At 54.2% G+C, this 21295-nt stretch overlaps 1 protein-coding gene across 3 annotated transcripts in view, besides 3 other annotated features; it reads right to left on the bottom strand.

Moving 5' to 3' along the window:
* SLC35E4 (solute carrier family 35 member E4) overlaps nt 1–14710 on the bottom strand; it is a 33239-nt gene extending 18529 nt beyond the window's left edge. The window contains exons 1-2 of one of the 3 annotated variants that reach the window (NM_001318370.2): nt 13422–14710; nt 1238–1331 (exon numbers count right to left, since the gene is read on the bottom strand). In NM_001318370.2, coding sequence (NP_001305299.1) covers nt 1246–1331; nt 13422–14040 — 705 coding nt within the window. In that variant the 5' untranslated portion in view covers nt 14041–14710 and the 3' untranslated portion in view covers nt 1238–1245. Of the gene's footprint in view, nt 1–1237; nt 1332–2597; nt 3894–13421 lie in introns of those variants that run through there. The other 2 variants (NM_001001479.4, NM_001318371.2) reach the window with 2 other exon arrangements.
* Nucleotides 3719–4301: an enhancer, noted in NCBI's record as "H3K4me1 hESC enhancer chr22:31042177-31042759 (GRCh37/hg19 assembly coordinates)". NCBI's record gives its function as "activates a minimal SCP1, AML or CMV promoter by ChIP-STARR-seq in primed H9 embryonic stem cells {active_cell/tissue: H9 hESC(primed)}" and the evidence as "EXISTENCE:reporter gene assay evidence [ECO:0000049][PMID:30033119]".
* Nucleotides 14503–14952: a silencer, noted in NCBI's record as "silent region_13614". NCBI's record gives its function as "represses an Ori minimal core promoter by ATAC-STARR-seq in GM12878 lymphoblastoid cells {active_cell/tissue: GM12878}" and the evidence as "EXISTENCE:reporter gene assay evidence [ECO:0000049][PMID:35858748]".
* Nucleotides 15284–15988: an enhancer, noted in NCBI's record as "H3K27ac-H3K4me1 hESC enhancer chr22:31030490-31031194 (GRCh37/hg19 assembly coordinates)". NCBI's record gives its function as "activates a minimal SCP1, AML or CMV promoter by ChIP-STARR-seq in naive H9 embryonic stem cells {active_cell/tissue: H9 hESC(naive)}" and the evidence as "EXISTENCE:reporter gene assay evidence [ECO:0000049][PMID:30033119]".

The raw sequence follows: 21295 nt of genomic DNA, 5'->3' as shown, positions 1-21295 counted from the left end.
GGAGTCTCATTCTGTCACACAAGCTGGAGTGCAGTGGCGTAATCTTGGCTCACAGCAATCTCTGCCTCCTAGGCTCAAGCGATTCTCCTGCCTCAGCCTTCCGAGTAGCTGGGATTACAGGTCCCCACCACCATGTCCGTCTAATTTTTTTTTTTTTTGAGACGAAGTCTTGCTCTTGTCCCCCAGGCTACAGTGCAATGGCATGATCTCGGCTCACTGCAACCTCCGCCTCCCAGGTTCAAGCGATTCTCCTGCCTCAGCCTCCCAAGTAGCTGGGATTACAGGCGGCTGCCACCATGCCCAGCTAATTTTTGTATTTTTAGTAGAGACGGGGTTTCACCATGTTGGCCAGGCTGGTCTTGAACTCCTGACTTCAGGTGATCCGCCCCCCTCGGACTCCCAAAGTACTGGGATTACAGGCGTGAGCCACCACATCCCACCAAACCCAAGCTTTTTGACTCCCAATCCAGCGCTCTCTGTGCCCACTGCTGGGAGGGGTGATAGGCATGGCTTTGGCTGTGGCCTTGGGGGAATCACCTCAATGTCTAATGGTCCTGAATCTGGTGACAAACCAGCTCCCAGGTCACACACAACCCCAATTACCTGTCCCCACAACCACCAGGGGCAGGCTTTAATCTGATGTGAGGCTCACTCATTAGCCAAGCATCCCACAAGGCCTAGAAATGAGGGTGGTACAGGGAGGTCCCTGCTATGGCAGTGGGGGCCAGTTGGATGGGAAAGGGTCCTGAGTCACCGAGGAGGATTTGACCACAGCCATCCATCCCTCCATCCTGCCTGGCAAAGCCTGAGAGTGGAGGCCAGAGGTACCCAAGCTGCTCAGGGACTGGGCTGGGCCAGCGGCATCTCTGAGTCATAGAGAGGGTGGGTGACAGGTGACTCAGCCCAGGCCGACTTCCCCTTCTGTAAGGCAGCCTGGGCGGAGGCTGGAACCAGGAAACCCCATACCGGTCCTCCTAGGCCTTCCCTACCCACTCCCACCCCGCCGTGGGCTGGCCCTTTACTCAGCCCTGTCTAGCACTTGCTGGCACTGTGGTCCCTTACGAATTCTGGTTACTGAATCTGAATGATTCCTCCCTGAATCTCAGTCTCCATAGACCACAGCCCCAGCCTGGTCTAGCTCCTAGTCCTCACACAAATGGGAGACATTTTGCAGATGGTTTCCAGAAAGGTTGGGTGAATACCCCAAGATAAAAGCAGAGCCAGTTGGTGCCATTACCTCCTTCCTCACTCCTGGCCCTGCCCAGCGCTCCTCATTCGAACCCTCTCCATAGGGATCATCAGTTCCATTTTGCAGATCTGGAAGCTGAGGCCTAGGGAAGGGAGGCTCCCAGTCAGGTGGGCAGAGCAGGATTAGGTTCCAGGTGTTCTCACTCCAACTGGGTCCTTATCATCTTTAACAGGTGATCTCCAGGAGAGGTAGCTGGCTGGGGAGAGTTAGGTGTTACAAGAGCCAAGGAAAGGCTCAGAGGTAAATAACAAAGCTGACGCCAGCTGGCGAGTCAGGGAGCTCTGGGGGTTGGGACTCCTGTCTTAGGTTCCCTACATGGGAGCCCTGCTCCCCTATACCCCTGCAAGCCTCCTGAGCACAGTCCCTTGTCAAGACCCTCATCAGCCCTTTTTTTTTTTGAAAGAGATAGGGTCTTGCTCTGTCACCCAGGCTGGAGTGCAGTGGCATGATCATAGTGCACTGCAGCCTCCAACTCCTGGCCTCAAGCGATTGGATTTTTCTTTTCTTTTTTGAGATGGAGTTTCGGTCTTGTTGGCCAAGCTGGAGTGCAGTGGCACAATCTCGGCTCACTGCAACCTCTGCCTCCTGGGTTCCAGCGATTCTCCTGCCTCAGGTGCACGCCAGCAGGCCTGGCTAATTTTTTTGTATTTTTAATAGAGACGGTGTTTCAGCATGTTGGCCAGGCTGGTCTCGAACCCCTGACATCAGGTGATCCGCCCGCCTTGGCCTCCCAAAGTACTGGGATTACAGGTGTGAGCCACCGCGCCCGGCCTGGATTTCTCTTTTTAAAAAGAGTTGCATGTTTGGGTTTTCTCCTCCAGGCAGGGGTTTAAGCTGTGGGAAGGGAGGAGGTTGTTGTAGGAAGCGGGGACTGGACGGAGGGAACAGCATGTACAAAGGTTTCAGTGAGCAGGCCTGGTATCACGGGGAACTGAAAGAAGTCGGTGAGGCTGGAAGGCAGAGCCCAGGGGAAGGGAGACAAGCTGGGTGAGGCTGCAGGTGCCACGTCCTGAGTGAGTTGGGGTCTGGGGTAGGAAATTCTGACTTTGTCCCAAGAGCAGTGAGGAACATCAGAATGTGCACGTTTTAGTGAGATCCCTCTGGGTGAAGGGGTCTGTGTGTAAGATGGAGTAGAGGGGCCAGGCAGAGCAAGGGGGAGGCCACTGCCACTGTCCAGAAGATGGGCAATGGTAGCCCAGCCAGTGGAGGGATTTGAGGGAATGGCACTGGGCTCGGGGTGGGGGGCCAGACAGACTGCGATGGGTAAGGGAGGATGTCCTAGTTTCTGTGTGGGAAGCCTACCACTCTCCCTATATCCCCTCTGTACAACCAACAAATGACACAGGCATACAAGCAAAAATAGTGTATTTGAGGATGGATGACCCAAAATTGGGGGGCCCAGGGGTGAGGCCACAGCAGCTGCCTGGAGTTGGCACAGACTACCCCAACTCCCTAGGGGAGCCCAGCAGCATAGAAGCCCCCCTGCTGGGCCTCCTAGCTGCCTCCCCCCCAGGAGGAAGGATTGTGTAACCGCCAAGAATCATCATCATCGTCATTGTAACAAGTTGAGGTCTTCAAAGTTTGCCCAGCAATTTTTGGCATCGTAATTGATATTAATCATAATAATGACTCTGACAAGCACAGGGACTGTGCCAGGCTTGGACCCACCATCCAGTGGTGTGCAGAGTCTGTGGCAGGGGTGAGGCAGGCAGGGATGGAACGCAGGTCTCCCTGGGAGTCCCCATTCCAATCTCCAAGGCAGCCCTTCCAGAAGGCTCCCCTCCCTGCCATGGCCCCCAGTAGAGGTCACTGCCAGTTCTCCACTTTTTTTTTTTTTTAATTGAGACAGCGTCTCGCTCTGTCTCCCAGGCTGGAGTGCAGTAGCATGCGATCTTGGCTTACTGCAGCCTCGATCTCCAGGGCTCAAGTGATCCTCCCACCTTAGCCTCCCATGTAGCTGGGACTATAGGCACGCGCCACCATGCCCAGCTAATTTTTCTATTTTTAGTAGAGATGAGGTTTTGCCATGTTAGCCAGGCTGGTCTCGAACTCCTGGCCTCAGGTGATCCACCCACCTCGGACTCTGGAAGTGCTGGGATTATAGGCGTGAGCCACCATGCCCAGCCCTGTTCTCCATTCCTTCTATGGCCACAGCGGAGGCTGGATTCAGGCCAGGGCCATCCCAGGTGGCTCCTGAGATCCCCCAGGTCTCAAAGACCCTTGCTGGGCTGGTCCCTCCGCCACAGCCCCCGACGGGCAGCCCAGGAGGCCACGAACTCGCAGTTGTGGTAAAGGAACATTCCTGAAAGAGTGAGTGCGATGCCCACGTAGCTGAGGGCACTGAGGCGGCTGCCAAACAACAGCCGGGACAGGATGAGGTTGCCCACCACGGTGAGGTTGCCCAGGACGTGGACGGTGAGGGCAGAGGTGAGGGCCAGCAGGGAGAAGCTGGCCAGGTTATAGAGAACAGACAGGAGGCAGCTGAGCAGGATGCAGGCCCAGAGGCGAGAGTCGCCAGCAGTGGGCGGTGGGGCAACGCCAGCCTCCAGCACCAGGGCTGCACCCGCCAGCAGGCAGAAGCTGGGCAGCGAGGTGGCGTAAAGCAGGGTCACCGCGTCCAGCCTCTCCTCCTGCAGCAGGGCACCTGCAACAGGACAACCGCCATGAGCACCCAGAAGGACACAACCCCCTCCAGCCACCCCAGTATGACCCCTATGGCCGATCCTCCAAGAAGCCTACCCGGACCCCTCGGGCAGGGCTAGTGGCTCCTGATCTGAAACATGACAGTCAAGAGTTGGAGTCAGACCACCTGGGTTTGTGACCTGTGTCCACCCCTGAGTAGCTGTGACCTGGGCTCATGAGAGGCACTTAACCTCCGTAAGCCTGAGTTTCCTCACCTGGAGAGTTGGGTAATAATAAAACCTAATCACGGGTTGTTGTAAACATTTTAAAAGACGGCATACATAAAGCCCTTAAATGGGAAATGCTCAGTAAATATAAAAAACTAAACTAAAATAAATAAGTCTGTTATCAGCCACTTCAAACTGCCTCCCACGAGCTGAAACAATGATATGCTTGGGATATCTAAATGATCAATAAGCATGAAGACTAAGTGGCTCAAAAAACATTACAAAGGCTGGGTGTGGTGGCTCATGCCTGTAATCCCAGCACTTTGGGAGGGCGGATCGCTTGAGCCCAGGAGTTTGAGACCTGCCCGGGCAACGTGATAAAACCCTGCCTCTACACAATACAAATATTAGCTGGGAGTGGTGGCACGTGCCTTTAGTCCCAGCTACTCAGGAGGCTGAGGCAGGAGGATCTTGAGCTCAGGAGGTGGAGGTTGCAGTGAGCCAAAATTGCACCACTGCACTCCAGCCTGGGCAACAGAGCGAGACCCTGTCTTAAAAAAAAAAAAAAAAAAATCGGTCAGGTACAGTGGCTTATGCCTGTAATCCCAGCACTTTGAGAGGCTGAGGCAGGAGGATCACTTGAGCCCAGAGGAAGGCTACAGTGAGCTATGATGATGCTACTACACTCCACCTCAATGACCAGAGCAAGACCCTGTCTCTAAAAAATAAAAATAAATCTTCAGGGGCTGCCCTGGCCCTGAAGGTCCTAGGTTCTTTTTTTTTTTTTTTTTTTTTTTGGAGACAGAGTCTTGCTCTGTTGCCCAGGCTGGAATGCAGTGGAATGATCTCGGCTTGCTGCAACTTCTGCCTCCCAGGTTCAAGTGATTCTCCTGCCTCAGTCTCCCAAGTAGCTGGGATCACAGGCATGCGCCACCACAACTGGCTAATTTTTGTATTTTTAGTAGAGACGGGGTTTCGCCATGTTGGCCAGGCTGGTCTCGAACTCCTGACCTCAGGTGATCCTCCCACCTCGGCCTCCCAAAGTGCTGGGATTACAGGCGTTGAGCCAGTGCACCCAGCCCAGGGTTCTTCACCCAGCTTCGAAGACTCTGCATCAACTGGCCCCAACCACCTTTCCCGCCTCAGCCCCTATCACTCCCACACTGCAGTTCCAGCCACCATGAAAGGGCAGGCCAGCAGAGGGTCCCAGCTCTGCCACTTACTAGCCACATGGGGGCCTTTGCATTAAAAAAGAAGAGTTTATAAAAGAAAATAATAAATTGGGTCAAAAGTGTGACCCATTCATTGCCTCATTCACTTATGACCACTGGAGTGACAAGGGGACAAAAGGTCATTGTGGGATCTTGGCTCTCACTCACTGTTTATAACTGATAATCAGCATCTTTTTTTTTTCCTGCTAATACTGTGGCTTGTCAAGATGAATCCAGGACTAAGAGGAAACCTTTTCACTTTGTAAGGCAGGAGGGGATCTTGCTGCTTTGCCTATGTGTGACTGTGTATCTGTGTGTACCTACGTGTACACATGCCACCACCAGCCAATTCACAAAGGGGTGCCCAGGCGAAATGACATTATTATTATTATTTGAGACAGGGTCTGGTTCTCTTGCCCAGGCGAAATGACATTATTATTATTATTTGAGACAGGGTCTGGTTCTCTTGCCCAGGCTGGAGTGTAGTGGTACGATGTCAGTTTACTGCCTTCCGAGCTCAAGCGATCCTCCCTTCTCAGCCTCCCAAGTAGCTGGGGCTACAGGCATGCACCATCACCCCTGAAAATTTTTGTATTTTTTGTAGAGATGGGGTTTCGTCATCTGGTTCACCCAGGCTGGTCTCAAACTCCTAGACTCAAGCAATCTGCTCAGCTTGGCCTCCCAAAGTGCTGGGATTACAGGTGTGAGCCATTGCGCCTGGCTGAAATGACATTATTTGCATGAGGGCAATGATGGCATGGGGCCTTTGCCAAGTTAGTGGAGAGAGATGAGTAGTCGACACAGGTCCCCTCCCAGGCCTCTGTGAGCCTCTATGCATTTTCTGACACACACTTTCCAAAAAGCCACAGAGATGCTTACTCATAGGCTATGCTTAGAATAGGAAATTTTATTTCTCTCTCAATTTCATTCCGATGTTTTAGCTTTGTTCTCTAGGCAACAAACAGTCCCTCTGGCTCAAGCGTTTCTAGAAATGAACAGATAATCAGAATGCCTCCTGCTCGCAGGCTCGAAAGTTAACAGTGTTATGAGCTACCTGTGGCTTGCACATTAAACGTCCCATCACAAGAAGGCGGTTGGGTTTTCAGGTGAACTTCACCTTTGGTAAATTTCACCCTCTGCAAGGCAGCCAGGCAGGAAGGTCCTAAACTTCCCACCCATCTCCTCACACCTATTGTACATCCCACCCAATCCTCCACCTCCCCTCCCTGCAGCCCAGGGAAAGGGCAGCCATTCGCTGTCAGAGGCGGTGACTGGCTTCTACCTGGGGACCCCAAAATGTCAGCCTGTTTGTCCTGCCTCATTGCCACCTCTCCTTCTATTGGAACATGCCCAAGTTTCTGCCACATGCAGACAACAGCTGACCCTTCTCTAAACCCTGTCTGCTTGCTATTGGCTTGGCCCTTTTGCTCTTTCACGGGCTGTGTGATACTGTCTCCCTCTCTCCACGCCTCAGTCTCCTTAAGTCGTGTGGCTCGGGTAGCAACAGCCCCCTCACATGTGAGGTGCTGAACACAGGGCCTGATGCCCTGTGTGATGTCCTTGATGCCGGCTCACCCCGGCAGCTGGCATGATCCCCACACCCTGCTCCTGCTGGCTGACACCCTGTGCCCTGGCACGGCCTGTTTCCCATTCCCAGATCACCCTTTCCTCCTCCTTCAGTATGAAGAGCTGGGCATGGTGTGGGCACCTAGGGAGGCCCCAACAAATGTTTGCTCTCATGGTTACATTATTGTCATCATCATTGCATGTCTCTTCCCCTAGATAGCCTTCTCAGCGCTCCCCAGGAAGAAGCAACCGCTCCCCAACACGTGTGACCACTTTGACTCTAGAACTTCTTTTCTGCCATCATGATCTCTATATCTGAGTGCATCTCCCCCATCAGCCTGAGAGCTCAGAGGGGTTGAGTCCGCCTGCTCTGTGATGCGGACGGGCGGGGGAGTCCAGCTGAGAGCAAGCTCAGCAGGCTGGCGCCCCACTTCCCACCCTTTCTGTGGGTAGGAGGATGGCATAACCCCTCTCCTTGTGCAGGCTCCCTGGGCCTACAACTGGCCCAAGAAGGAGGGAAGTCGCTGGCCCTGCCAACAGCTGCCTGGGCTCTCCTCTTTCTGGATACTTTTTTTTTTTTTTTTTTGAGACGGAGTCTCACTCTGTCGCCCAGGCTGGAGTGTAGTAGCGCTATCTGGGCTCACTGCAAGCTCCGCCTCCCGGGTTCACGCCATTCTCCTGCCTCAGCCTCCCGACTAGCTGGGACTACAGGTGCCCACCACCACACCTGGCTATTTTTTTGTATTTTTTAGTAGAGACGGGGTTTCACTGTGTTAGCCAGGATGGTCTCAATCTCCTGACCTCATGATCCACCCACCTTGGCCTCCCAAAGTGCTGGGATTACAGGTGTGAACCACCGTGCCTGGCCTTTTTTTTTTTTTTTTTTGAGATGTTGCCCAGGCTAGAGTGCAATGGTGTGATATCTCGGCTCACTGCAACCTCCGCCTCCCTGGTTCAAGAGATTCTCCTACCTCAGCCTCCCGAGTAGCTGGGATGACAGGCATGCACCAGCATGCCCAGCTAATTTTTTTTGTATTTTTAGTAGAGACGGGGATTCACCATGCTGGCCAGGCTGGTCTCGAACTCCTGACCTCAAGTGAGCTGCCTGCCTTGGCTTCCCAAAGTGCTGGGATTACAGGCGTGAGCCACCATGCCCAGCCTTCTTTCTGGATACTTGCCCTCTGCTCCCACAAACTCTGCTCTCAGGAATGGAGCTGGCATCAGCCACGTACACTCACGTCTGAATCTGGCCCTGGTGCCTCTCCTGGAGCCTCCTGCAGTAGAAACCTTTTGTTCAAAACCTATCTCAGGCTGGGTGTGGTGGCTCATGCCCGTAATCCCAGCACTTTAGGCCGAGGTGGGTAAATCACTTGAGTCTAGGAGTTGGAGACCAGCCTGGGCAACATGATGAAACCCCATTTCTACAAAAAATACAAAAATTAGCTGGGCATGGAGGCACGCCTATAGTCCTAGCTACTCGGGAGGCTGAGGTGGGAGGATTGCCCGAGCCTGGGAAATTGAGGCCGCAGTGAGCCACTGCACTCCAGCCTGGATGACAGAGCAAGACCCTCTCATAAACAAACAAACAAACAAGCAAAAAAAGCCTATCTCAGGCCCTGGCTCAAGTCTGTTCCTCCCCATCTCTGCAGGGCTCCTATCTCTGTTAGTGGGGCCTCTAGCCCCCTAAACTCCCTCCTGAATCAGGCAGCCCAACCAGTCTATGAGATCAGCTCGCCTGTCAGAGCCATCAGTAAATCTGTCGGCATGTTGGCTCACACCTGTAATTCCAGCACTTTGGGAGGCCCGGAGGGAAGATCACTTGAGGCCAGGGGTTTGAGACCAGCCTGGGCAACATAGTGAGCCTGTTTCTAAAAAAAAAAAAAAAAAAAAAAAAAAATTAAAAATTAGCCAGGACGGTGGCATGAGCCTGTAGTCCCAGCTACTCAGGAGGCTGAGGCACAAGAATTGCTTGAAACCAGGAGGCAGAGGTTGCAATGAGCTGAGATTGCACTGCTGCATTCCAGCCTGGGCGACAGAGAGAGATTGTCTCAAAAAAAAAAATAATAAAATAAAATTTAAAAATTATAATTTACAAATTATGTATCCTCTGCAAGGCCCCAGGGCTAGGTTCCAGGAACATAGAATTGCCCCAAATCTGTCTGGCAGGCAGCAGACAGGTAACCAGGTGGTGATCATACATGGCATTTGGAACCATGATAGGGGGAGCAGAGGATACCGCAGGAGCCCAGAGCAAGGACTCAACCTCCCAGGGGTCAGGAGTTAAGACTAGGGAGGGAGGGAAGGAGGGAGCTGGCAGGAGTCAAGATGCAGCCCGATGCCAGGCACATGCCACTCCATGCCCAAGTGCCTGAGGCCTGGCCGGCCATTGCCCCTCCTGCAGGCTGGGGCTGCCTGGGTCCCAGTGTGAGAAGCACTGACTCTTTCTCAGCAGGGGCAGCATGGGCCTTGAGGTTAGGACCTTCACAGCCCTGTGGCCTGCACAGGGGTGCCCACAGGTCAGGTTTCCCAGTGCAGACTCATGCCCAGAGCTCATGCCTGTGCTCAGCCTCTAGCTCTCATGTAACCTGAGGGCAAAAAATAGAACTGGGTTTTGACCCTGCCTTGGAGCCAGGGAGGATAGAGATAGGGCCTCTGTGTCAGCTCTGAATACGCCAGGGCAGGGCTGAACTCTGACTTCAATCTTCCCTGGCTGTGGGCTGTCATCAATCCCAGCCCAGCACTCTTGGTGTGCCCACTTCCTTCTCCCAGGCCTGGGTCACAGGATCTCAGGGCGAAGGGAGAGCAAGAGGCCCCTTGGACTCCATCAACTCCAACTCTCCTCCACTGACAGATGAGGAAACTGAGGCCCAGATAAAATCCCAATATGCCCAAGGTTGCCCAGCAAATATGAGCAAAGGTATGGCTGGAACCCAGGCCTCCCCACCCTGAGTGGGCACCCTGGCCTCCCCTATGTCTCCTTGGGTTGAGGCAGAGAGAGGATAGAGGCTGCGACTCAGATGCCCCTCAGTAGGAAAGGCAGGAAGCCAGCCTTCGCCCTCAGGCAGAATGATCTAGTGGGTCTGGGCCTGGAGCCTCGGCCCTAAACTGCCCAGAGCCCTGCTGCCCTCTTTCATCAGAGCCAGCATCTGGAGTCACATAGACCATGCTTCACATCATTAGGGACCCCGTGACCTCTGTGCAAATCATGAACTTCTTTCTTTCTTTCTTCTTTTTTTTTTTTTTTTTGAGATGGAGTCTAGCTCTGTCCCTAGGCTGGAGTGCAGTGGCGTGATCTCGGCTCACTGCAACCTCTGCCTCCTGGGTTCAAGTGATTCTCCTGCCTCAGGTTCCCGAGTAGGGGGGATTACAGGCAGGCGCCACCACGCCCAGCTAATTTTTGTAATTTTAGTAGACAGGGTTTCACCACGTTGGCCAGGATGGTCTTGATCTCCTGACCTCGTGATCCTCCCACCTCTGTTGCGGGAAGTCAGGGACCCCAAACGGAGGGACCAGCTGAAGCCATTGCAGAAGAACGTGGATTGTGAAGATTTCATGGACATTTATTAGTTTCCCAAATTAATACTTTTGTAATTTCTTACGCCTGTCTTTACTGCAATCTCTGAACATAAATTGTGAAGATTTCATGGACACTTATCACTTCTCCAACCAATACCCTTGTGATTTCCTATGCCTATCTTTAATCTCTTAATCCCATCATCTTCGTAAGCTGAGGAGGCTGTATGTCGCCTCAGGACCCTGTGATGATTGCGTTAACTGCACAAATTGTAGAGCATGTGTGTTTGAACAATATGAAATCTGGGCACCTTGAAAGAACAGGATAACAGCAATGTTCAGGGAACAAGAGAGATAATCTTAAACTCTGACTGCCGGTGAGCCGGGTGGAACAGAGCCATATTTCTCTTCTTTCAAAAGCAAATGGGAGAAATGTTGCTGAATTCTTTTTCTCAGCAAGGGACATCCTTGAGAAAGAGAATGCGTCCCTGAGGGTAGGCCTCTAAAATGGCTGCTTCTGGGGGGCGGCCATCTTTTATGGTCGAAGCTGTAGGGATGAAATAAGCCCCAGTCTCCCATAGCGCTCCCAGGCTTATTAGGACGAGGAAATTCCCGCCTAATAAATTTTGGTCAGACTGGTTGTCTGCTCTCAAACCCTGTCTCTTGATAAGATGTTATCAATGACAATGCGTGCCCGAAACTTCATTAGCAATTTTAATTTCACCCCGGTCCTATGGTCCTGTGATCTGGCCCTGCCTCCATTTGCCTTGTGATATTCTATTACCTTGTGAAGCACGTGGTCTCTGTGACCCACATCCTATTGGTACACTCCCTCCCCTTTTGAAAATCACTAATCAAAACTTGCTGGTTTTATGGCTCAGGGGGCATCACGGAACCTGCCGACATATGATGTCTCCCCCGGACACCCAGCTTTAAAATTTCTCCCTTTTGTACTCTGTCCCTTTATTTCTCAGACCAGCTGACACTTAGGTAATACAGAAAAGAACCTACGTGAAATATCAGGGGTGAATTTCGCCCGATATCTGGCTGAATTTCCCCCAATACACCTCAGCCTCCCAAAGTGCTGGGATTACAGGTGTGAGCCACTGCGCTGGGCTGAACTTCTTTCTTTTTCTTGAGACAGAGTCTCATTCTGTCGCCCAGGCTGGAGTGCAGTGGTGTAATCTCAGCTCACTGCAACCTCCTTCTCCCGGGTTCAAGGAATTCTTATGCCTCAGCCTCCCCAGTAGCTGGGATTACAGGTGCATGCCACCTGGCCCGGCTAATTTTGAGACAGAGTTTCACTCTTGTTACCCAGGCTGGAGTGCAATAGCGTGATCTCAGCTCACTGCAACCTCCGCCTCCCAGGTTCAAGCGATTCTCTCACCTCAGCCTCCTGAGTAGCTGGGATTACAGGCGCCCACCATCACGCTCAGCTAATTTTTGTATTTTCAGTAGAGACAGGGTTTCCCCATGTTGGCCAGGCTGGTCTCGAACTCCTGACCTCAGGTGATCCACTTGCCTCGGCCTCCCAAAGTGCTGGGATTACAGCTGTGAGCCACTGCGCCTGGCCCAATTTTTTTTTTTTTTTTTTTTTTTTTGAGATGGAGTCTCACTCTGTCGCCTTGGCTGGAGTGCAGTGGGGCGATCTTGGCTCACTGCAACCTCTGCCACCCGGGTTCAAGCTATTCTCCTGCCTCAGCCTCCCGAGTAGCTGGGATTACAGACACCTGCCATGGCGCCCGGTTAATTTTTTTGTATTTTTAGTAGAGATGGGGTTTCACCACCTTGGTTAGTCTGTTCTTGAACTTCTGACCTCATGATCCACCCGCCTCAGCCTCCCAAAGTGCTGGAATTACAGGCATGAGACACCGCGCCCGGCCCCAATTTTTGTATTTTTAATAGATACAGGGTTTCACCATGTTGGCCAGGGTGGTCTCGAACTCCTGGTCTCAAGAGTCCTCCCACCTCAGCCTCCCAAAGTGCTGGGATTACAGGCATGAGATACCATGCCCAGCCTGTCAAATCATGAACTTCTCTGGGTCTTAGTCCCATCATCTGTAAAATGGGGATAAAGTTGGTGGTTGCCATGACAACTCAAGGTCAACACTCAGCACCAAGCCTGTCACACTGTAGCTCCCAGTAAACAACAGCCCTCCCCAGACTTAGACCTGACCCCTGACCTTCCAAATCCCAGCTCATCCCAGACCCTCCTTTTCTCTCCCTGGCCCATGCTTTCTGGCTTTCCTTTGTGTCCAAAGCCTCAGGCCACATCTCTTGGAAGCATGGAGTCTGACTATCTGGGTTTAGATCTTGCCTCTGCTGCTCACTGGCCACGTGGCCCAGGGCAAGCCTCTTCATCTATCAAATGGGAACAATACAGTGAGATAAAAGGCTAGTCAAACACAGATCACTGGCTATCACTAAATACTGGTTTGTAATTCCAGAACTTCAGGAAGCTGAGGGGGGAAGATCGCTGAGGACAGGAGTTCAAGACCTACCTTGGCAACATAGCAAGACTCTGTGTCTATAAAAAAAAAAAATTAGCTGACCAGGTGGGGTGGCTCACGCTTGAAATCCTAGCACCTTGGGAGGTCAGGAGTTCAAGATCAGCCTGGCCAACATGGTAAAATGCTGTCTCTACTAAAAATACAAAAATTAGCTTAGCGTGGTGGTGTGCACCTGTAGTCCCACTTACTTGGGAGGCTGAGGCAGAAGAATCACTTGAACCCAGGATGCGGAGGCTGTATTGAGCTGAGATCTCACCAATGCAGCCTGGGTGACAGAGCCAGACCCTGTCTAAATAAGTAAATAAACAAATAAACACGAGTTGGGCCTCCAGAGCCTGAGTCTGGGGCCTGGAACTCACTGAACTGTTGGCCCTCTCTGAGCCTCAGTTCTGCTTCCTCCACAGCCATGAACCTCAGTTTCCTCATTTGTAAAATGGGACAACAGCCATACCCCTCACAGGGCCATCCAGGCCATGCACCCACCCGGACCCCCACCTTCTCAATTGGCCACCCAGGCACTTACTTTGCTGAACCGACTTGAGTCCGCGGAGGCAGGTGGCTGCGAGCAGGAAGCCACAGCCGGTAGGGGGTGTCCGGAACTCTCCAGCCAGGCTGCAGGCGGCCCCCAGGCAGAGCGGACCCATGGCGGCCAACTGAAGTGGGTGGTGGCGGCGGCCCAGCAGCAGCGCCGACAGGGCCAGGGTGAACAGAGGTGTGGTGGTAGTAACCAGTTGTGCCAGGTCCAGGGGCACAGCCCTTAGGCCCACGTTGCCGCAGGCCATGGACGTGCCAAAGGTGAGACTGAGCAGTAGGACTCGGCAGCGAGTGCCGCCTGGCATGGGGCGCCGTGCCCCCCGGTGGCATGCCAGGGCTGCCACCAGCATGTGCAGGGCCGACAGCAGCAGGGGCCGCCCAAAGCCGTGCACTGTGAAGATCCACTTGTTGAGGCTTGACATGCTGGCTCCCGCCAGCAGCCACACCAGTGCTGCCATGGCCACTCGGGCCCGGCCAGGCTGCCGGAGGGCCTGAGGGCTGCCAGGGGGCCACTCGGGGGGCCCAGCCGCCTGAGCACCACCAGCTGCTGCTCCTACTTCGGCTGAGGTCATCCTGCCATCATGGTGCTCCGGCGGGCAGCGGCACATCCGCACCAGTGAGGCTAGGGCAGGAGGCGGGCTCCCCAGTGACGACCTCTGGGCCACCAGAGAGTTCCGCTTGGGGCCAGGCTAGATCCTGGTTCCTCCGACCCCGTGTCCCGTTTCAGACAGGTGAGGACACTGCTTACTTGTGCCAGGCCTGTGCCAGCGATGTCTAGAAGCTAAGCTGTGTTTCCAGCTCAGACAGGGCAGAGCCAAGGTCGCGGCTGCTAGGATGCCAGGGTCTCCGATGCTCAAGCGTGGGCTCCAGGCACCTCTGCCCCGTGCCAGGTGGTCTCCACTTTCCTCCTCGCCTAGTGCCCACGTTATGCTTTTAGATGAAATCCTCGTTCCTTTTTTCTCTTCAGTCCCCAGGTCATTAGGGTGCGCGCAGATCCAGACCCTGGGAACTCCTGCGTGCTCTGGCCGTGACCAGGCCTGGCAGGGGGGCGATCTGGGCTCCGCGCCTGGCGGTGCCCGGCCCGGGGGGTCGCGGGCTCGCTGCCTCCCACAGCGCCCGGGCAGTGAGCTGACACCACGGCCCGTCCTCCGGCCGGTGCCTGGCGGCGAGCTAGGCGCGGATCCAGCAGGGCCTGCGCTCCAACTCCTGCTCTCTGAGGCTTTGGCTGCGGCTCTGGCTGCGGCTGTGACTCCGGCTGCGGCTCCTGCTGCGACTCACGCCCGGCTCCAGCTCAGGCCCGGCACGGCGGGCGCGGCGGTGCGCTCTTGACTCCGCCTCCGCCTCTGCCTCCCCCGCCGCCGCCCGCTCCCTACACGGAAAATTGGGCTGAGCACCCCAGCCAAGCCCCGCCCCAGGCCAAGCCCCGCCCCCGGACCGGGAGGGCGGTCTTGCCCCGCCCCAACGCCTCCCGCTCACAGCCCCTCCCCCATCGGCCTGGCATTTCCCCCATCAGCCCTCCTCCGCCCGGGGCCTGCGCATCTGCCCAGTAGACCCCCCCACGAGCTGGCGTGGTCAGCCTCTCTTCGCCGCCAGGGGGGACCAAGTCGCTCCCCACCCAGCGCCAAGGCGAGCCCTCCATGGAGATGAACGCGCATTGCTGGAGACACTGGGGTATCCCGCACAGCCGCCCAGGCTATCTTCAAGAAGCAGGGTAGTGAGGAGGGGCCCACAGCCCCCATCCTAGGACCAGTCTTACGCCCACCTGATCTCTGGCCACAATTATCTCGTGGGACCTCAGCATCCAGCAGAGCTGGATTACGGGGTCCCTTAAGGCACCTCCATCGCCCCTCCGTAGCCCCAGCATCCTCCCCAGCCTCCCAGTCCAGGGCGGCGCCCCCTGGGGACCCTCAGAGGGAAGCTGAATCACCAGGCAGGGATACCCACAGCTGCGGAAGTAGGTACCGCCGGCCGGCATCCTTCCCCGGCCAGCAGCCTCTGTCCGGTCCCCTGAGCACTCGAAGCTGACTCATAGCAGAACTTCCTGGGGTCCACCCTGTGCCCCAGCCCCGGCAAGACAGAGCCCTGGGCTGGGAGGCAGAGCGGTTGCCACTGAGCCCTTGTTCCTGTCTGGGTCTCGGTTTTCCCACCAGAACGACAGACGCTCTCTGAGGTCAGGATTGGGTAAACGGCGCGCCCCAGGGCAGAAGAGGTCCATCCAGATTCCAGGCTAGGCCAGGCCCTGGCCCCTCTGAGCTCTGAAGTCCGGGAGCACGAGGACCAAGGCCCAGCCATGTGCCCAGTATCAGATGTGAGCCTCTTTCCTGTTGTCGGTCTTCCTACTAGGCTCCTGCCCAAGAGGACCCAGCTCACCCCTTGCCTGTTGTCTAACCAGCAAATCCTTGATGACAGCAACCTGTCTTGAGACACAAGATCTCAAAGGGGTACCGCTGAACCCAGCCCGCTGCGCCCTCTGGTGGCCAGGCGCTGAATATAGCCCTCAATCCCCATCCCAATCACAGGACGCGGGTTTAAAATCCCCAGCCTCAAAGGAGGCCTGCTGAATCAGAGGCTCTCTGTCACGGGTGGGCCTGGGAATTTACATGGTCACATTTGCCTCTGTAAGTCCGACGCCCGCTGGAGCCTGCAGATCTCTGCTGAATAGCCTAAGCTACAGCGCAGGGGGTGCAGATAGGGAAATTTCCAGGCCAAGGACCAAAAAATGGTGGCATTTAGTGTTTCTCCAGAAAGGGTTGTGGAAAGGAAACTAAGCCAGCCAAAGCGGATGGCCCCTCTCCCGCACCCCCTTGCCATTTCCTGAGGAAGAGAAATCTGGGACCCCTAAGGGTTATAATTATCTTTGATATTTTGTCAGGTTTTTTTGTTTGTTTGTTTTCCAAGACCGAGTTTCGCTCTTGTTGCCCAGGCTGGAGTGCAATGGCACGATCTCAGCTCACTGCAACCTCTGCCTCCCAGGTTCAGGTGGTTCTCCTACCTCAGCCTCCCGAGTAGCTGGGATTACAGGCGTGCGCCACCAAACCCGGCTAATTTTTGTATTTTTAGTAGAGACAGGGTTTCACCATGTTGGTCAGGTTGGTCTCAAACTCTTGACCTCAGGTGATCCACCCACCCTGGCCTCCCAAAGTGCTGAGATTACAGGCGTAAACCACCACGCCCAGCCTGGATTTTGTCAGTTTTCTAGTAAGTCTCCTTTAGTAAAAAACAATAGTCTGGGTACAGTGGCTCATGCCTGTAGTCCCAGCACGTTGGGAGGCTGAGGCATGAGGATCACTTGAGCTCAGGAGTTGGAGACCAGCTTGGGCAACAGGGCAAAGCCTCGTGTCTACAGAAAATACAAAAATAAGCTGGGAGGCTGGCCGAAGAGGTTCACGCCTGTAATCCCAGCACTTTAGGAGGCCGAGGCTGGCGGATCACTTAAGGTCAGGAGTTGGAGACAGCCTGGCCAACATGGTGAAACCCCGTCTCTACTAAAAATACAAAAATTAGCTGGGTGTGGCGGTGGGCGCCTGTAGTCCCAGCTACTCAGGTGGCTGAGGCAGGGGAATCGCTTGAACCCGGGAGGCAGAGCTTGCAGTGAGCCAAAATCACACCACTGCACTCCAGCCTGGAAGAAATCGCACTACTGCACTCCAGCCTGGACGAAAGAGCAAGACTGCATCTCAAAAACAAACAAACAAACAAACAAACATGAGCTTGGCATGGTGGTGTCTGCCTGTAGTCCCAGCTACTCAGGGGATTGGGAGGGAGGATCCCTTGAGCCCAGGAGATGGAGGCTGCAGTGAGCTAAGATTGCACCACTGCACTCCAGCCTGGGTGACAAAGACCCTGCCTCAAAAAAAAATTTTTTTTTTTTTTTGAGAGAGTCTCGCTCTGTCGCCCAGGCTGGAGTGCAGTGGCACGATCTCAGCTCACTACAAGCTCCGCCTCCTGGGTTCATGCTATCCTCCTGCCTCAGCCTCCTGAGTAGCTGGGACTACAGGTTCACGCCACCACGCCCGGCTAATTTTTTGTATTTTTAGTAGAGACAGGGTTTCACCGTGTCAGCCAGGATGGTCTCGATCTCCTGACCTTGTGATCCACCCGCCTTGGCCTCCCAAAGTGCTGGCATTACAGGGGTGAGCCACCGCACCCGACCAAAACTTTTTTAAATTTAATTAAAAAATAATAAGAGAGAAAAAACCAACAACAGTAATATTTTTTTTTTGAGATGGAGTTTCGCTCTTGTCACCCAGGCTGGAGTGCAGTGGCACAATCTCAGCTCACTGCAACCTCTGACACCCCCCGACCCCGGGTTCAAGTGATTCTCCTGCCTCAGCCTCCCAAGTACCTGCCATCATGCCTGGCTAATTTTTGTATTTTTACTAGAGATGGGGTTTCACCATGTTGGCCAGGCTGGTCTCGAACTCCTGACCTCAGGTGATCCACCCACCTTGGCCTCCCAAAGTGCTGGGATTACAGGCATGAGCCACCTTGCTCAGCAACAATAATAATTTATATATACATAAATTTTATTGCCCTCTCCCTCTCCCTCTCCCCACGGTCTCCCTCTCCCTCTCTTTCCACCGTCTCCCTCTGATGCCGAGCCGAAGCTGGACTGTACTGCTGCCATCTCAGCTCACTGCAACCTCTCTGCCTGATTCTCCTGCCTCAGCCTGCCGAGTGCCCGCGATTGCAGGCACGCGCCGCCACGCCTGACTGGTTTTCGTATTTTTTTGGTGGAGACGGGGTTTTGCTGTGTTGGCCGGGCTGGTCTCCAGCTCCTAACCGCGAGTGATCTGCCAGCCTCGGCCTCCCGAGGTGCCGGGATTGCAGACGGAGTCTGGTTCACTCAGTGCTCAATGTTGCCCAGGCTGGAGTGCAGTGGCGTGATCTCGGCTCGCTACAACCTCCACCTCCCAGCTGCCTGCCTTGGCCTCCCAAAGTGCCGGGAGTGCAGCCTCTGCTCAGCCGCCACCCCGTCTGGGAAGTGAGGAGCGTCTCTGCCTGGCCACCCATCGTCTGGGACGTGAGGAGCCCCTCTGCCTGGCTGCCCAGTCTGGAAAGTGAGGAGCGTCTCTGCCCGGCCGCCATCCCATCTAGGAAGTGAGGAGCGCCTCTTCCCAGCCGCCATCCCATCTAGGAAGTGAGGAGCGTCTCTGCCCGGCTGCCCATCGTCTGAGATGTGGGGAGCGCCTCTGCCCTGCCGCCCCGTCTGGGATGTGAGGAGCGCCTCTGCCCGGCCGCAACCCCGTCTGGGAGGTGAGGAGCGTCTCTGCCCGGCCGCCCCGTCTGAGAAGTGAGGAGCCCCTCCGCCCGGCAGCCGCCCCGTCTGAGAAGTGAGGAGCCCCTCCGCCCGGCAGCCACCCCGTCTGTGAAGTGAGGAGCGTCTCCGCCGGCAGCCACCCCGTCCGGGAGGGAGGTGGGGGTCAGCCCCCGCCCGGCCAGCCGCCCCGTCCTGGAGGTGAGGGGCGCCTCTGCCCGGCCACCCCTACTGGGAGGTGAGGAGCCCCTCTGCCCGGCCACCACCCTGTCTGGGAGGTGTGCCCAGCAGCTCATTGAGAACGGGCCATGATGACAATGGCGGTTTTGTGGAATAGAAGAGGGGGAAAGGTAGGGAAAAGATTGAGAAATCGGATGGTTGCCGTGTCTGTGTAGAAAGAAGTAGACATGGGAGACTTTTCATTTTGTTCTGTACTAAGAAAAATTCTTCTGCCTTGGGATCCTGTTGATCTGTGACCTTACCCCCAACCCTGTGCTCTCTGAAACATGTGCTGTGTCCACTCAGGGTTAAATGGATTAAGGGCGGTGCAAGATGTGCTTTGTTAAACAGATGCTTGAAGGCAGCATGCTCGTGTCATCACCACTCCCTAATCTCAAGTACCCAGGGACACAAACACTGCGGAAGGCCGCAGGGTCCTCTGCCTAGGAAAACCAGAGACCTTTGTTCACTTGTTTATCTGCTGACCTTCCTTCCACTATTGTCCTATGACCCTGCGAAATCCCCCTCTGCGAGAAACACCCAAGAATGATCAATAAAAAAAAAAAAAAACAAACAAACAAACAAAAAAAAAACCACGGCCTTTGTTATGTTTCTTAATCTCTGTAAATTAGCATAGATGCCATCTCCTGTCTCCCCTCCCCCATTTTTGACATTGTCATGTTGATAGACCAGGTCAATTTTTCTTTAGAACTCTTCTTCTGGGTTTATCTGATTTTTTTCTTCGTGTTGTATTTCCCTGTATTTCTCCAGTGTATAACCTGTATATCACCTGTATTTCCTGTAAACTAGAAGTTATATATGAAGTCTTGACTGTATCAAATTAAAGAATTTTTAAAGCAAAAAAAAAATAAATAAAAATAAATAAATTTTATTTTATTTTTAAGATAGAGTCTTACTCTGTCACCCAAGCTGGAATGCAATGGCACAATCTTGGCTCACTGCAACCTCCAACTCCCAGGTTCAATCAATTCTTCTGTCTCAGCTTCCAAAGTAGCTGGAACTACAGGTGCCCACCACCATTTACAGCTAATTTTTGTATTTTTAGTAGAGATGGAGTTTTGCCATGTTGGCCCGGCTAGTCTCAAACTCCTGACCTCAAGTGATCCCCTGCCTCAGCCTCCCAAAGTGCTCAGATTACAGGCATGAACCACCACACTTGGCCCACAATAGTAATTATACAAAACGAAAACACCTTGTACCTTCTCAGAGCTGAGCTGATGGGGAGTGGTTGATGGTGAAAATCTGTCTCCAAGATCACCATGAAGCGGCTCCCACTTGCCCTGCCTAATGACAGGTGGCTCTGAAGACTATGGATTAAGCAAGCGAGGCCTGGACAGGCCTTGGTGGAATGGAGAGGATGGCACACCTTGGGGTGAAGGGAGTCTGAGGGCAGAGCCCAAAGCAGGTGACCCAGCAGCACCATCCTCCATGGGAGCCCAGAGGGGCCAGGGCACATGGGAGGGGCTGTGGCTTCCTCAGGCCCAGTCTCAGGGGGCAGGGAGGTGGCATGGTACAATGGCAAGTGTCGGCACTGGGGTCCAAGGTGGGGGAATCTCAGCTCTGCCACCCACAGACACCACCTGTGGCCAGGGTGGAGGGCTTCATCCCATCCACTCCTTACTGTTCCTCCTGGAGGCAGGCGCTGTATTATCCCAGTTGCAGATTAGAGGGCTTGGTCAGCTGCAAAAAGCAAGAAGCCAGGGACACGCAGCTTGAGTGGTGGCAGGAGATTTGGACCCGGTCTCCGTGTGGCTCTAGGGCCTCAGCATTTTTTTTTTTTTTAAGATGGAGTCTCACTCTGTCACCCAGGCTGGAGTGCAGTGGCACAATCTCGGCTCACTGCACTCTCCGACACCTGGGTTCAAGCAATTCTCCTGCCTCAGCCTCCTGAGTATCTGGGATTACAGGCGCCTGCCACCACGCCCAGCTAATTTTTGTAGTTTAGTAGAGACAGGGGCTCACCATCTTGGCCAGGCTAGTCTTGAACTCCTGACCTTGTGATTCACTTGCCTCGGCCTCCCAAAGCTTTTTTTTTTTTTTTTTTTTTTTTTTTTTTTTTTTTGAGACAGGGTCTTGCTCTTTCCCCAAGGCTGGAGTACAGTGCAGTGGTGTGATCATACCTCATTGTAGCCTCCAGTTCTTGAGCTCAATTGATCCTCTTGCCTCAGTCTCCCAAGTTGCTAGGATTACAGGCGGGAGCCACTACCCCTGGCTACTTTAAGCCTCAGCTTTTAACCTGCCTTGACCAACAGCCAGCAGGACTCTCAAGAGGATACTCCCACGTGGAAGAATGGGGGGCTAGGGCATTCAGCTCCATTCATGGAGAATGGCAGGGGGCTTCTTTGCATTCCCTTGGGGTTCACCCA

The sequence above is a fragment of the Homo sapiens genome, chromosome 22, assembly GCF_000001405.40.
Source record: "Homo sapiens chromosome 22, GRCh38.p14 Primary Assembly".
NCBI classification, from domain to species: domain Eukaryota; kingdom Metazoa; phylum Chordata; class Mammalia; order Primates; family Hominidae; genus Homo; species Homo sapiens.
This window is presented reverse-complemented; position numbering and strand designations above follow the sequence as displayed.